Source organism: Homo sapiens, chromosome 3 (genome assembly GCF_000001405.40).
Source record: "Homo sapiens chromosome 3, GRCh38.p14 Primary Assembly".
Classification (NCBI taxonomy): domain Eukaryota; kingdom Metazoa; phylum Chordata; class Mammalia; order Primates; family Hominidae; genus Homo; species Homo sapiens.
In genome coordinates, this window is record NC_000003.12 from 113,982,365 (window position 1) to 113,999,785 (window position 17,421).

The 17,421-nt window shown below is 39.6% G+C and overlaps 1 protein-coding gene and 1 pseudogene across 12 annotated transcripts in view, besides 2 other annotated features; one reads left to right on the top strand and one right to left on the bottom strand.

Annotated features, from left to right (window-relative positions):
• The window catches only part of CCDC191 (coiled-coil domain containing 191), a 92,477-nt gene that overhangs the window by 18,228 nt on the left and 56,828 nt on the right, over window positions 1-17,421 (bottom strand).
• ATP5PBP8 (ATP5PB pseudogene 8) lies at window positions 1,657-2,291 on the top strand (annotated as a pseudogene).
• Window positions 3,288-3,367: an enhancer, noted in NCBI's record as "active region_20264". NCBI's record gives its function as "activates an Ori minimal core promoter by ATAC-STARR-seq in GM12878 lymphoblastoid cells {active_cell/tissue: GM12878}" and the evidence as "EXISTENCE:reporter gene assay evidence [ECO:0000049][PMID:35858748]".
• Window positions 3,448-3,497: an enhancer, noted in NCBI's record as "active region_20265". NCBI's record gives its function as "activates an Ori minimal core promoter by ATAC-STARR-seq in GM12878 lymphoblastoid cells {active_cell/tissue: GM12878}" and the evidence as "EXISTENCE:reporter gene assay evidence [ECO:0000049][PMID:35858748]".

Here is a 17,421-nt window from a genome sequence, read left to right on the forward strand (position 1 = left end):
GGTTGTATTTCATTAATATTACCACATTTTCAATTTCCTGGTTTATAAAATGTCTTTAATAGCACCTGCATCCATGATTTACTGTGAGGATTACATGATATGATGCTGTTTTGAGATGGCACTTATAGTGGGGATCTATGTAGCTAGGGGTTTCATAGAACACAGATCACTGAGGCTAAAAAGGGATATAAAATCTGGGCTTCTTTCTGAAATAAATGTGTAGCTTTGTCAGCTAGTATGCTTTAGGAGAAAAGCCAGAAATTACAGCTATGTTAAAAAAAAAAGTACAGGGCAATTGACACTGCCCCAAAACTCTTGGCCTTCTGTCCCTTGTACGCTACTCTCCCTTTGTGCTCTAGAATATATTCCTGCTTACCCACTCCTGTGATTTATACTCTGCTCTTCTGCATCACGAATTTCTCCCTCACTACTGGATTATTCCTATCAGTATGCAAATATGTGCCAGTATCTCCCCTCTTCAAAACAAAAAAACAAAAAAAAAAAAACCAAAAATAAAAAATAACTAACAAAAAACAACTAGAGACCATGAGTATAGATGCGGATCTCTTTCTCATGAGCTCCACATCTATCTCTGATCTCAGGAGATCCGCATCTGTACTCATGGTCTCTAGTTCCTCACCTATTCTCTCCTCAGCCCACTGGAATGAGGCTCCTTTCCTAGAACACCACTGAAAGCCCTGTTGCCTAGGTCATGAATGCTTGCTGGGCTTCCAAATCAAAGAATCACTTATCTGTGCTACTTTTAATTGAACTCGGTAGCATTCAGCCAAATTCACCACTCCCACCACTCCCCTAACAGAAATACTTTTTTCTCTTGGTGTTTTGATTCTAAACTCTCCTGTTCTCTTTCTACCTCACTAGCTCCTTATCCTCTAAATAGCTATTTATAGTCCTTAGGACTTGATCTTGGACTCTCATTTCTACTCTATCCAGACAATCTCCCAAGCTGATTACAGCTACTTCCAGACCATTATAAACATTGACTTGTTTTTCACTTGCGTACACAGTCTTGTGGTCCAGGCTTATATACCCAAGCACATATCTGACATGTTCATTTGGATGTCCAATAGGTATCTCACATTTAACATGCCCCCGCCAACTAGACACTGTGGAGGCCGCCTCAGCATCCAGGAGCTCAAATATCACCTCCTCAGAGAGGTATTTCCCATACTGCTTCCACCAACTATACCACTCTCTCCCTACTTCTTTAGTCATTACTTTGATTATTGGCCTGTTTTCCCCAACTAGCATAGAAGCTTTCAGACGGCAGGGCTGTTATCTGTCTTCTTCATTGCTACATTCTAACATCTACGTAAGTAAATGCTTTACAGATATTTGTTCAGTGTGCAAATATGCTTGATAAGCAATTATGGAAAAACTTTAAATCTTGCCTTGTCTTCTCTGATAAAATTATTTTTTCAACCGCAAACTTCAACTGTCCATCAATCAGAAGTATATATAGCCATAAAAGTTATTGCCTGTTAAGTATAAGCATTTAATAAACATACAGGGGGGTGTTAAGAAGAGGTTAGATTATTATTTTCAGAAGGTCACTTTGTGAGACCTCTGAGTGGCCACCTTACTGTGGCACCCAACATGCTTTTCTGGCAGGGTCATGGGGACACTAAGCTGTAGCCATGTCTTGCCTCTGTACCACCTCTTGCTGAATATAGAGGACAGGTCTGTCATGAGGGCTTATCCCTGAAGAATTCTTCCAGTTCCTTTATCTAAAATGGTGTCACAGCACCCTATACACACATAACTGGGCTTATCTCATAATATCTCTCCAAAGAAATATATATGATTGCCCCAGAGACTTTCTTTATCATATCAACAGTAGGGTTTTTTTTTATCTATGTCATTAGAAAACATGGTACCTCTGTTGGACAATTTGCTGGTACACTCAATGAGCAAAAATACCCGCCCAAATAGAAGAGGTTAAGCAGAGTTCAACCAAACACATCTAGGATACAAATGATTCAGAGAAGTCTCAGAAGGCACTTGTTCAGAAGTGCCACTATCTTTTTGATATCCAGAGGAATAACACTACTATGGCCTTGGAGGTTGCTTACTGGGAAAAGTTATATAAAGCATATAAGGAAGTAAAGAATTGCTTGGCAGAACTTGATGGGTAAAAAGGAATAAGACCTATGAAAATCTGAGTGGAGAAGCACACTGTGTAGAGCATCTTTGTCCAGAAGGAAAAGAAGACAATTGCCATGTGCATTTTATATCTAAAGTTGTCCTCAAAGAAGACTCAAGTATAGCCAGCCTATAAATGCACCTATCTCAATTTAGATAGCTCCAGTTGACTAATGAAATGGAAACTAGTCTATGTGACAAAATCTTCTTATCTATTGCTATGAACTGCAGCTTCTAAAAGGAAAATGTTTGGGCTTGATATAGTGAGAGAAATAAAATGATCTCTTGGTCAGTAATGTATTTTTCACCATTCTTGTTCTGCATAAGTTTTCTTCCAACAAGGAAAAAGCTGGTCATGCAACAAATTAATGACTTTTTGTGAACTGATCAGAGATCTGAAGCTACCCCCAAATTTGGAGAGACAGGCATCTTCAGGGAGGCACAGGACCTAAGCATTTGTTTACCGGAGGCAGAAGCCACTGGATACCATATGAGTAAGACAATTAAACTAGAAATTTTGGTGAACTGATGGAGGCAGACAGTGAGTGGGCCAGCATGAGAAGGTTGAAGCTCCTGGGGATCACAGTCATGGGGGTGCTTCTCATCCCTTTGAAGGCTTTTCTTATAAGAACGCTACCAGGCTCTCACAGAGAAGATCATGGAGAATCCACAGAAAGTTTGCACCATGGTTCTGGCTGGGGAGAGGCACAGCAGCAACTGCAAAATCTTCCCAGAGCATTCTTCCTTAGGAAACAAAAGGTTTATCTGTCCTAGCAACCAACCCAGTACACTGGCAGATTAGCACTGCATCTGAGGGAAGGGGATTCAGGGGATTCTGCCCAGACAAGTCCTCCCTATCTCACTTAGGGGTTGGGGAAGCCTTATTCTCCAGAGGGAAGGTCTTTAAGGTCACAGACTGAGACAGTGGTGGATACCCACTGCGGATAAAGGGAAAAAGGGGGCAGAAAAAAGCTCTACCACTGGAGTGGGAACAGAAATTATCTGAGTGCTTAAAGCTGTGCATTCCAAACACTGAGACTTAATCAGAACAGAGAATGCTCCCCATCGTCCACACCCAATCACCACACTTATATAAGCTTCCAATAATAATAGTGGATTACAGCTGAGAAAGCTGTAAACAACAGATTCTCTCTGGGGAGCAGCACAAAAGGAAGACCCAAAACCAAAAGAGGAAGCAAAAACAAAGTCACTAGAAGACATTAAAGTCTCTGATGTCTACAGCATACAGCAACAAACCTCAACAATGGTGACCACGGCAACAACAAGCTTCAAACATAGCCCAATTCCCGGCTAAATTAGTACAAATCTCCACACTCTAGGCCAACGTGTTGCAGTTTCTATTGCCCTGAACAACAGGTCTGGCCTTCAACAAAAAAATACAAGGCATACCCAAAGACAAGAAATAAATACACCCTGAAAAGATGAGCCAATCATCAGAACAAGGCTCAGATATGACAGAGATGTTGGAACTATCAGAGAGGGAATTTTAAATAACTTCCAAAAATAATGTTAAATGTTCTAATGGAAAAGGTAGACATCATTCCAGATCAGATAGGTAATTTTAGCAGAGACATGGAAACTATAAAAAAAGATTCAAAATAAAAATGCTAGAAATAAAAAAACACATGGTAATAGAGATAAAGAGGCACTTCAACTAGCTTACTGCTAGAAGATACAGCCAAGGAAAGAACCAGCTAACCTGACAATAGGGCAATGGAAATTACACAAACTGAAAGGCAAAAAGAGTGAAAAACAAAATAGTGCATCTGAGAGCTGTGGGATAATATGAAACAATGTAACAATGGCATAACAAATCCCATAAGGAAAAGAAAAAGAATGGGGTAAGTGAAATAATTTGAAGAAATAACGGGCAAACATATTCCAAAATCAGTAACAAAACACAAAATCATATATCCAAGAAGCTTAAGACCACCAAAGCCAAGACCAAACCAACCAACCAACCATACCTAGATATATCATATTCGAACTGCTAAAAATCAAAGACAAAGAAAAAGTCTTGAAGGTAGCTAAAGGGAAAGACCCACATTACCTACTGTCATGAACTGAATGCTTGTGTCCCCCTAAAGTTACTGTGTTGAAGCCCTAACCCCTAGTGTGGCTGTATTTGAACATAGGGCCACTAAGGAAGTAATGAAGGTTAAATGGGGTCCTAGGGTGCAGCCCTAATTGGACAGAATTAATGTCCTTATAAGAAGCGATACCGTGGTGTGCTTGCTTGCTCTCTCTCGCATGCGCTCTCTCCCTCTCCCCTCTGTCTCCAAACAGAAGCACCAAGGAAAGACTGTATGAGGACACAGTGAGAAGAAGCTGTCTGCAAGCCAAGAAGACCCCTTTCCAAAAGCCAACCATGCAGGCACCCTGATCTTGGACTTTGCAGCCTCTAAAACTGTGAGAAAACAAATTTCAGTTATTTATCCACCTAGTCTGTGACATTTTGTTATGGCAGCCTGAACAGAATAAGACACCCACAAAGAAAGAAAGGTAAGAATTACAGTAGATGTCTTGTGAGAAACCAGGCAAGCAAGAAAACAATAGAGTAACATCATTAAGGTGTTGAAAGAAAAAAAAAAAAAACACCTGTCAACCCACAATTCTATATCCGGCAAAAAACATACTTTAAAAGTGAAGGAAAAATAAAGACTCTCAGACAAATAAAAACTGAAGGAATTCACTGCCAGCAGATCTACCCTATAAGAAATGGTAAAGAAAGTTCTTCAGGCATAAAGAATATAATATAGGTTAAGAACTTAGCTCTACACAAAGAAATGAAGAGCATCAGAAACAGAAGAAATAAAGTTAAATATAATCATCTTATTTTTAATTCCACTGAGAAAACTAATTGTTCAAACAATAAGTTTAACAAGATATTGGCTATTTATAGTATACATAAAAATATGACATGACAACAATACCAAAAGGAATGGGAGGAAGGAACTGGGAAATACTGATAGAAGGTTCTTTCACTACATGTAAAGTGTTATTTGAAGGTGGAAAGAGATCATTATTATTATTTGAGATAGGGTCTTGCTATGTTACCCACGCTTGTCTCAAACTACTGGACTCAGGCAGTCCTCCTGCCTCAGCCTCCAAAGTAGCTGAGATTACAGGTACATGCTACGACACTCAGGTAGAAGGAGATTATTTTAAAAATGTAAACACTAGGGTAACCACTAAAAATATTTTTTAAAAGAGGACCAGGTGCAGTGGCTCACGCCTGTAATCCCAGCACTTTGGGAGGCCAAGGCAGGTGGATCACGAGGTCAGGAATTTGAGACCAGCCTGGTCAAGATGGTGAAACCCCATCTCTACTAAAAATACAAAAATTAGCCGGGCGTGTTGGTGGGTGCCTGTAATCCCAGCTGTTCGGGAGGCTGAGGCAGGAGAATTGCTTGAACCCAGGAAGCGGATGTTGCAGTGAGCCAAGATCATGCCACTGCACTCCAGCCTGGGCGACAGAGCAAGACTCCATCTCAATATATATATATATATATTTAAAGAGGTATAAAAACTCCAAAAAAACACAATAAAATAGAATCATAAAGATGCTTAATTAAAACCAGATAAGGTAGGGAAAAAAGAAAAACAAAGAATAAGTACAACAAATAGAAAATAGCTAACAAGATGATAGATTTTAATCCAGTTGTGGCCGGGTGCAGTGGCTCACGCCTGTAATCCCAGCACTTTGGGAGGCTGAGGCAGGTGGAGCACGAGGTCAGGAGTTTGAGACCAGCCTGGTCAAGATGGTGAAACCCCATCTCTACTAAAAATACAAAAATTAGCCGGGCATGGTGGCGGGCGCCTGTTAATCCCAGCTATTCCAGCCAAGACGGGTGGATCACCTGAGGTCAGGAGTTCGAGACCAGCCTGACCAGCATGGCAAAACCTAGTCTCTACTAAAAATACAAAATTAGCCAGGCGTGGTGGTGCGTGCCTGTAATCCCAGCTACTCAGAAGGCTGAGGCAGGAGAATCACTTGAACCCAGGAGGCAGAGGTTGTGGTGAGCAGAGATCACGCCACTGCACTCCAGCCTGGGCAACAAGAGTGAGACTCCATCTCAAAAAAAAAAAAAAAAAAAAAAAGATTTTAATCCAGTTTTATCAATAATCACTTTAAAGTTAATGGGCTAAACATAATAGTTAAAAGAATGAGATTATCAAATTAGATGCTAAATCAAGACATAGCTATATGATGTCTATAAGACATTCAATTTTATAAGGCATATATGTAAGTCTTTTTTTTTTGAGACAGAGTCTCGCTCTGTCACCGAGGCTGGAGTGCAGCAGCTCAATCTCGGCTCACTGCAAGCTCCGCCTCCCGGGTTCATGCCATTCTCCTGTCTCAGCCTCCCAAGTAGCTGGGACTACAGGTGCCCACCACCACACCCGGCTAATATTTTTGTATTTTTTTAGTAGAGACAGGGTTTCACCATGTTAGCCAGGATAGTCTTGATCTCCTGACCTCATGATCTGCCTGCCTCAGCCTCCCAAAGTGCTGGGATTACAGGCGTGAGCCACTGCCCCTGGCCATGTAAGTCTTTTTAAACATACATGCACCTAAGAACAAACCTTCAAAGTACATGAGGCAAAACCAGATAGATATGAAAGGAGAAATAAGTCTCAAGTTTAGTTAGAAACTTCAATAGTCCTCTCTCAATAACTGATAGAAGCAGGCACAAAATCAGTAAGAATACAGATATAGATACCGTAAGACACAGTAAAACATACTCAAACAATGTGACTTGGCATTTCTAGAGCAGACCAATGGCAGCTGAGTACTATAGTACTATACATATTCTTCTCAAGTGCACATGGAACATTCACTGAGATAGACAATATTCTGGGTCATAAAGCAAAACTTTACAATTTCATGCAATGTACATTCTTGGAACATAAGGAACTTAAACTAGAAATTAAAACTAGAAATTAAACTAGTAAAAAGTTATCTGAAAGTCCTCAAATATTTAAAAATTAAAGAATAAACTTCTTAATAACCCATGGGACAATGAGGACATCTCAAGGGAAATTAAAAATATTTTGAACTAAGTAAAGATAAAAATATCAAAATATGATATACAAGTAAAAGAGTACTTAGAGGGAAATTTACAGCAGTAAATTCACACACTAGAAAAGGAGAGGCCAGGCATGGTGGCTCATGCCTGTAATCTTACCACTTTGGGAGGCCAAGGTGGGAGGATCTCTTGAGCCCAGGAAATTAAGACCAGCCTGGACAACACAGTGAGACCCCATCTCTACAAAAAATTTAAAAAATCAATTGGACATGGTGGTGCATGCCTGTAGTCTCAGCTACTCAGGAGGCTGAGGTGAGAGGATTGCTTGAGCCCAGGAGTTTGAGGTTATAGTGAGCTGTGATCACACCACTGCATTCCTGCCTGGGCAACAGAACAAGGCCCTGTCTCTAAAGAAAGAAAGAAAAAGAGAAAGATCTGAAATCAATAACTGAAGTTTATATCTTAGGAAACTAGAGGAAGAGAGCAAACTCTTAAGGAAGGAGGAGGACAGAAATAAAAATTAAAGCAGAAATCAATGAAATTGAAAAGAGGAAAACAACAAAGAAAACCAGTGAAACCAAAAGTTAGTTTTTGAAAAGAAATAAAATTGATAAAACTGATATCCAGGTAAACCAGAAGAGAAGATATATATTGCCAATATCAAAATTTAAAGAGAAGACATCAATACTGATCTCATAGACATTAAAAAGGTCATAAGAGAATACTATGACCTCTGTTCCAAGAGACTTGAAAACTTAGATTAAATGCTCAAATTTCCTGAAATATACAAACTACCAAGTTTTACTCAAGAAGAAAAAAAGAACTGAATAGCTCAATATCTATTAAAGAAATAGAATATGTTATTTTAAATCACTTTAAAAAAGAAAACTCCAGGTGAGGGATAAAAGACTACAAATTAGGTTCAGTATATATTGCTCAGGTGATGGGTGCACCTAAACCTCACAAATCCCCACCAAAGAATTTACTCATGTAACCAAATACCACCTGTTCCCCCAAAACCTACAGAAATAAAAAATTTAATATAAAATAATAAAAAAAGAAAACTCCAGGCCCAGTGGTTTCACCAGTGAATTCTACCAAACATTTTAGAGAGAAATAACACCAACTTTACATACTCTCTTTCAAAAAATAAAAAAGGGTATACTTCCCCCATTTTATGAGGCTAACCATTATCCTAATACCACAACAAGACAAACATAATATAAAAAAAAGGAAATGCAGGCTGGTGTGGTGGTGCATGCTTAGAATCCCAGCTACTCAGGAGGCTGAGGCAAGATAATTTGAACCCAAGTGTTTAAGACTAGCCTGCGCAACATAGTGATAAAGCACCTCAAAAAAAAAAAAAAAAAAAAAAAAGGCCAGATGTGGTGGCTCATGCCTGTAATCCCAGCACTTTGGGAGACTGAAGTGGGCGGATCACAAGGTTAAAAGTTCAAGGCCAACCTGGCCAACATGGTGAAACCCCGTCTTTACTAAAAATACAAAAATTAGCTGGGTGTGGTGGCGCATGCCTCTAATCCCAGCTACTCAGGAGGCCAAGGCAGGAGAATCGCTTGAACTCGGGAGGTGGAGGTTACAGTGAGCTGAGATCACGCCACTGCACTCCAGCCTGGGCAACACAGTGAGACTCCAAAAAAAAAAAAAAGAAAAACAAACAAACCCCCCCCCCCAAAAACCAATTTCTTAACAAAATACCAACACATGAAATCTAACAATATATAAAAATAACACACCATGACCAAGTGGAGTTCATCTCAGGAAGGCAAGGATAATTTTACATTGGAAAATCAATCAATGTAGTTTACCGTATTAGTAGAGGAATTAAGAAAACTACATGATCATATCAAAGATGCAGAAAAAGCTTTCAGTGAAATTTGTAATAAACACTCTCAGCAATCTAGGAATAAATGAAAATTCCCTTCATCTAATAAAAGACATTCATGAAAACCCACAGCAAACATCATACTTAATGGTGAGATACTGAATGCTTTCCCTCTAGATCTGAAACAAGGCAAGGATGTCTTCTCTCATCATGCCTATTCCATCTCATACTGGAAGTCCTAACTAATGTGATAAGGCAAGATAAATAAGTAAAAGGCATGCAGATTGGAAAGGAAGAAATAATATTGCATTTATTAGCAGACAACCTGTTTACCTAGACTATTCCAAATAATTTACAAAAGTACTTCTGGAACCAAAAAGTGAGTTTAGCAAGATTGCAGGATACAACACCAACATACTAAAATGAATTATGTTCCCATATTAGCAATGAATAAATGGAATATGAAAGTTTAAAAAAAACATTTATAATAGTGCCCCAAAAATGCAGTAGTTAGGTACAAATCTAACAAAATGTGAGATGTGAGGAAAGCTATAAAAACAATGATGAAAGAAATCAAAGATATAAATAGAGAAAAGACATTAGCAAGATGGTGGAATAGCAGCTTTCTACCATCATATCCCCGCAGAAGCACTGATTTTGACAAGTACCCATGGATGAGAGTACTTTGTGGAAGTCCAGAAGTCCAGCAGTGAAGTTCCAGCACATCACTGGACACACTGAAGAAGGTAAGAATAGTTTCACTTTATCTAGGTCACCCCTCCCCCAAGGCAGCATAGTTCAATGCCAAGAGAGACCCCCACAGCCTGTGATTCCTCCCACGGAGGAAAGTGAGAGGAGAGTGAGTAAGCATTCAGCTCCCTCAGCTGTGTAGGCTGCTGCCCAAGAGGCCCACTTCTTTCTTACCTTACCCAGATTACTGAGGTAATCAGCACAGCTGAGTGGTTCGAGGAGGCTGGGAACAGGGAAGAAAGGCCACAGACCCTACTAACCAATAAACAACCAAATGAACAAAGGCCACAGACCCTATAACCAATAAACAAATAAGGAGATTGAATGAGTAATTTAAAAATCTAACAAAGAAAAACCCAGGACTTCATTGGTGAATTGTATCAAACATTTAAACGGGGACTGTTGTGGGATGGGGGGAGGGGGAAGGGATAGCATTAGTAGATATACCTAATGCTAAATGACGAGTTAATGGGTGCAGCATACCAACATGGCACATGTATACATATGTAACAAACCTGCACGTTGTGCACACGTACCCTAAAACTTAAAGTATAATAAAAAAAAAGAATTAATGCCAATTCTTTTCAAACTCTTCCAACAAAACTGAAGAGAAAGGAACACTTCCACACTCATTTTATGAGGCCAGCATTCCCCTGATACTACAGGCAGACAAGGATACTACAAAAAAAATTATAGGCCAACATACCTGATGAACATAAATGCAAAAATCCTGAACAAAATAGTAGCAAACTAAATTCAAGAGCACATTCAAAGGATAATACACTATGATCAAGTGGGAGTTATCCCTGGGATGCAAGGATGGTTCAATATGCACAGATCAATAAATGTGATACACCATATTAACAGAATGAAGGATAAAAGTAATATGATCATCTCAACAGATGCAGAAAAGCATGTGACAAAACTCAACACCCTTGCATGATAAAAAAAAATTTCAGTAGGCTGGGTCACCCCTGTGACCCAGGTGTGGTGGCTCACGCCTGTAATCCAGCATTTTGAGAGGCTGAGGCAGGAGGATCACTTGAGCCCAGGAGTTTGAGACCACCCTGGGTAACATAGTGACACCCAGACTCTATGATTCATATGGAAAGTCAAATGAACTAGAATAGCCAAAACATTCTGAAGAAGAAAAATAGAGTAGCAGAATTCACAATGCCTATAAAGCTACAGTAATCAAAGACAGTATTACTTGCAAAGGAATAGACATAAAGTAACAACAGAAAAGAACAGAGAGCCCAGAAATAGATCCACACAATATGGTCAACTGATTTTTGGCAAATATATAAAAATAATTTAATGGAGAAAAGATAGTCTTCTAAACAAATGATACTGGAACAACTGAACGTCCATATAAAAAATAAATTACAGCATACCTCACAACTTACATTAAAATTAACTCCAAATGGGCTGGGCATGGTGGCTCATGCCTGTAATCCCAATACTGCACTTTGGCAGGCTGAGGTGGGTGGATCACTTGAGGTCAGGAGTTTGAGACCAGCCTGGACAACCTGGTGAAACCACGTCTCTACTAAAAATACAAAAATTAGCTGGGCATGGTGGTGTGTGCCTGTAGTCTCAGCTACTTGGAAGGCTGAGGTGGGAGAATCGCTTGAGCCTGGGAGGTGGAGGTTGCAGTGAGCCGAGATCGTGCCACTGCACTCCAGCCTGGGTGACAGTGAGACCCTGTCTCAGAGAAAAAAAAAGAAAAGAAAAAAAAATTAACTCCAAATAGACCACAGACCTAAATGTAAAATGTAAAACTTTGTGAAGGAAAAACTGAAAATCTGAATGACTTTGAGTTTGGTGATTAGTTCTGGATACAACACCAACAGCACAATCCATGAAAGAAAAAAGTGATAAGGTTGACTTTATTAAAATTTAACACTTTCCTCTGTGAATGACATTGTTAAGTGAATTAAAGTACAAGCCTTAGACTGGGAGAAAATATTTGCAAATCACATATCTAAAAAGGACTTGGTCCAGAATATATGAAGAACTTTTAAAACCCAACAATAAGTAAACAAAAAATGGACAAAAGATCTGAACAGATACTTCATCATAGAAGATATATGGATATCAAGTAAAGATATGAAAGGATTCTTAGCATTATTTGTTGTTAGGGAAACGCAAATAAACACCACAATGATATATTACTACACACCTATTAGAACATATTAAACCCCCCTAACTGACAATAACAAATGCTGATGAGGATGTGCAACAAAAAGACCTTTCATTTATCACTGGTAGGAACACAAAATGGTGCAGCCTCTTTGGAATAGAATTTGGCAATTACCTATAAACTTAAACATTGACTTACCACACTACCTAGCAATCACATTCCTAGGTATTTACCTAAGTGAATTGAAAACTTAAAAAACTAAATTCTTTTTTTTTTTTTTTTTTTTAGAAACAGGGTCTTGCTTTGTCACTGAGGCTGGAGTGCAGTAGCAAAATAATAGCTCACTGCAACTTCGAACTCCTGAGCTCAAGCGATCCTCCCACCTCAGCCTCCCAAGTAGCTGGGACTACAGGTGCATGTCACCACACCCGGCTAATTTCTTTTATTTTGTAGAGACAAGGTCTCACTATGTTGCCCAGGCTGGTATCAACTTTTGGGCTCAAGAAATCCTCCCATCTCAGCCTTCCAAAGTGCTGGGATTACAGGTGTGAACACCTGACTGAACTGAAAACTTATGAGTCCAAACAAAAACCTGTATGTAAATGTTTCTAGCAACTTTACTAATAATTGCCAGAAACTGGAAGCAGTATCAATAGAGGAATAGATAACTTGCATATGCAGATGAAGTTCTATTGGAATACTATTTGATGATAAAAAGGACCGAGCTTTTGACTCCTGCAGCAAAATGGATGAATCATAAATGCATTTTACTAAGTGAAAAAAGTAACACTGTATGAATCCACTGTTATGACTTCTGAAAAAGGCAAAACACATAGGGATAGAAAACAAATCCGTGTTTGCCAGGGGTTAGGGGCTGGCGGATGTCCCACTGGGTACAATGTTCACTATTTGAGTGATGGGTACACTAAAGCCCAGACTTCAGCACTCCACAATATATCCATGTAACAAAACCGCATTTATACCCCCTAAATCTATAAAAATTAAAAAATGAGGGGTATACAGAGGAAGTTGTAACATGAAGGAACTGCTTTTTATAATACTCTGCATTTGTTAAAAGCCATAGCACTGTACATTACCAAGAGTGAACTTTAAAGTAGAAAAACAACAAAATCAACCAGAATGTCAGGGATTCCAGGATGGAATGTACCCTGTGACAAATGAATCTGATTGTATTAAAAACAAATGACAAAACTGTACTCAAGGAGCTGGGGAAAATAGGTGCTGACCTAGGGAAAAATAGGAGCTGACCTAAGTAACTTAAAACTTATTTTAGTAGAATGATTTGTATCGCTTTGGGTATATACCTAGTAATGGGACTGCTGGGTCAAATGGTATTTCTGGTTCTAGATCCTTGAGGAATCACCACTGTCTTCCACAATGGTTGAACTAGTTTACAGTCCCACCATCAGTGTAAAAGTGTTCCTAATTTCTCCACAGCCTCACCAGCATCTTTTGTTTCTTGACTTTTTACTAATCGCTATTCTGACTAGTGTGAGATAGAATCTCATTGTGGTTTTGATTTGCATTTCTCTAATGATCAGTGATGATGAGCTTTTTTCTCATATGTTTTTTGGCTGCGTAAATGTCTTATTTTGAGAAGTGTCTGTTCATATCCTTTGCCCACTTTTTGATGGGACTGTTTCTTTTTTTTTTTATACATTTAAATTCTTTATAGATTCTGGATATTAGACCTTTGTCAGATGGATAGATTGCAAAAATTTTCTCCCTTTCTGTAGGTTCCTATTCACTTTTATGATAGTTTCTTTTGCTGTGCAGAAGCTCTTTAGTTTAATTAGATCCCATTTGTCAATTCTGGCTTTTGTTGCAATTGCTATTGGTGTCTTTGCCCATGCCTATGTCCTGAATGGTATTGCCTAAATTTTCTTCTAGGGTTTTTATGGTTTTGGGTTTTACATTTAAATCTTTAATCCATCTTGAGTTAATTTTTGTATAAGGTGTAAGGAAGGGGTCCAGTTTCAGTTTTCTGCATAGGCTAGCCAGTTTTCCCAGCACCATTTATTAAATAGGGAATCCTTTCCCCATTGCTTGTTTTTATCAGGTTTGTTAAAGATCAGATGGTTGTAGATGTGTGGTGTTACTTCTGAGGTCTCCGTTCTGTTCCATTAGTCTACATGTCTGTTTTAGTACCAGTACCATGCTCTTTTGGTTACTGTAGCCTTGTAGTATAGTTTGAAGTCAAATAGGATGATGCCTCCAGCTAAAGACTCATGCGCATGTATATTTATTGCAGCACTATTTACAATAGCAAAGACTTGGAACCAACACAAATACCCATCAATGATAGATTGGATAAAGAAAATGTGGTACATATACACCATGGAATGCTATGCAGCCATAAGAAAGAATGAGATTATGTCCTTTGCAGGGACATGGATGAAGCTGGAAGCCATCATACTCAGCAAACTAATACAGGAACAGAAAACCAAAAACTGCATGTTCTCACTCATAAGTGGGAGTTGAACAATGAGAACACATGGACACAGGGAGAGGAACAACACACACTGGGGCCTGCTGGGGGGTGGGGGGCAAGGGGAGGGAGAGCATTAGGACAAATACCTAATGCATGCCAGGCTTAAAACCTAGATGATGGGTTGACAGGTGCAGCAAACCACCATGGCACATGTATACCTATGTAACAAACCTGCATGCTCTGCATATGTATCCCAGATTTTAATTGGAAAACATAAGGTTAAAGATAAATGGAACTGTACATTAACACTGTACTGTATTTGGTAATTTTTTTCTCGTTGGGGTTTGGGTAATCAGTTCTGAAACTGCTTTACATCTATCCTGGGGTTGAACAAATAAGTAAACAGATGAATTGTGGGAGCCAGGTTTCATGCTGTCAGAGGGCATTTACAAATAAGCAAGAAGGGAAGCATAGGATAAACCCTCTAGTGCTGGATTAGAGCCAGAAACATCAGTATGAACTCATATTTAGGTAGAGTTTCACATACATATATGTACATATACACACACAGATGGATAGATTCAGAATGATTACAGATAGGTGTGTATACATAGCATAGCATACATATATTACCTACCTCCAACTGCCAAGGTCCTAGAATTAGTGACACCCAGTAGCAATTAGACCCTCAGTACTTAGATCTTGCTTTCCAAATACCATTTATAACTAAGAACCCTCAGAGAAATGGCTTATTCATGAGGGCAGGGCAATGAAAAAATAAAAGATGAATAGCATCAGAAAGTAAAGTGCCCAAAAAACACAAAATAATGGGGGCATGTCAAAGGGACAATAGGAGCCAACCTTAAAGAGCTCCCAGTGGCCAAAGCTGAAACAATTTGAGCAACAAAATAAATAACACAGTATTTTTAATAACCCAAAGTATAAAATACATATACAGTCATATGCTACATAATGATGTTTGGGTCAATGAAAGACTGAATGTACCAAGGTGGCCCTATGAGGTTATAATGGAGCTGAAAAATTCCTATTGCCCAGTGATACTGTGGTTATTCTAATTCATAGTGCCACACATTACTCAAGCAGTTGTGGTAAAGCTAGTATGAACAAACTTACTGTGTTGCCAGTCATATACAAGTATAGCATATATAATTATGTGAACTACATAATACTTGAGAATGACACTATACTTTTTATCATTATTTTAGATTGTACTCCTTAATTAAAAAAAAAAAAGTTGGCTGGGCGTGGTGGCTCATGCCTATAATCCCAGCACTTTGGGAGGCCGAGGCAGGCGGATCACCTGAGTTCAGGAGTTCGAGACTAGCCTGACCCACATAGAGAAACCTGGTCTCTACTAAAAATACAAAAATTAGCCAGGCGTGGTGGTGCATGACTGTAATCCCAGCTACTCGGGAGGCTGAGGAAGGAGAATCACTTGAACCCGGGAGGCGGAAGTTGCAGTGAGCCGAGATCGCACCATTGCACACCAGCCTGGGCAACAAGAGTGAAACTCTGCTTCAAAAAAAAAAAAAAAAAAAAAAAGTTAACTATAAAACAGCCTCAGGCAGGTCCTTCAAGAGGTATTCAAGAAGAAAGCATCGCTATCATAGGAGATGACAGCTCCACCGGTGTTATTGCCCTTGAAGACCTTTCAGTGGAACAAACTGTGGAGGTGGAAGACTGTGATACTGATGATCCTGACCTCCTGAGATCGCCCAATGGGCTCATAAACAAAATGGCCATGGTGGCAGAAACAGAGGTTATGCATGGGCTCAGCAACATGGACTTCCACTCACCAGCTGACCTGACTAAAGGCACTGCCGAGTACCCAATCTGCCAGCAGCAGAGACTAACAATGAGTCCCTGATGTGGCACCATTCCCCAGGGTGATCAGGAAGCTACCCGGTGGCAGGTTAATTACAGTGAGCTGCTTCCATTAAGGAAGGGGTTATATTTTGTTCTCACTGGAACAGACACTCTATCTAGATATGGATTTGCTTTCCCTGCATGCAGTGATTCTACTAAAACCACCATCTGTGGACTTACAGATTCACCTTATCTACTGTCATAGTATTCCACACACCGTTGCTTCTGACCAAAGAACTCACTTCACAGCAAAGAAGTATAGCAATGGGCCCATGCTCACGGAATTCACTGGCCTTACTATGTTCCCTACCATCCAGAACCAGGTGGATTGATCGAACAATGGAATAGCCCTTTGAAGACTTAGTTATAGCACCAGCTAGGTGGCAATACCTTGCAGGGCTGGGGAAGGTTCTTCAGAAGTCCGTACATGCTCTTAATCAGTATCCAATACATGGCATGGTTTCTCTGATAGCCAGGATTCAAGGGCCCAGGAATCAAGGGATGGAAATGAGAATGGTACACTATTACCCCTAGTAATACCACTAGCAAAATTTTGGCTTCCTGTTCCCATGACTTTATGCTTTACTAGCCTAGAGGTCTTAGTTCCAGAGGGAAGAATGCTTTCACCAAGAGACATAATGATTCCACTTAACTGCAAGTTGACTGCTACCTGGCCACTTTCGGCTCCTTGTGCCACTGAATCGATGGCAAAGAAGGGAGTTATGAGGCTAGCTTGGGGTGACTGATCCTTCCTGCCAAGGGGAAACTGAACTACTACTCTACATGAAGGTAAGGAAGAATACATTTGGAATACAGGAGATTTGTTAGGGTGTCTCTTAGTATTAACATTGTCCTGTAATTAGAGTAAATGGAAAACTACAACCTAATCCAGGCAGGACTATGAATGTTGCTGTGACTTTAGGAATGAAGGTTTGGGTCACCTGTTGGGTAGAGAATCACAAGCAGCTGAGGTGCTTGCTGAAGGCAAGGGGAATATGGAGGGGTAGTGGAAGAAGGTATTTATAAATACCAGTTACGACCATGTAACCAGTTGTAGAAACAAAAACTGTGTCATGAGTATTTTCTCCTTATTTTGCTATGAATACATTTGTGCATTTTCTTTCCTCTTATT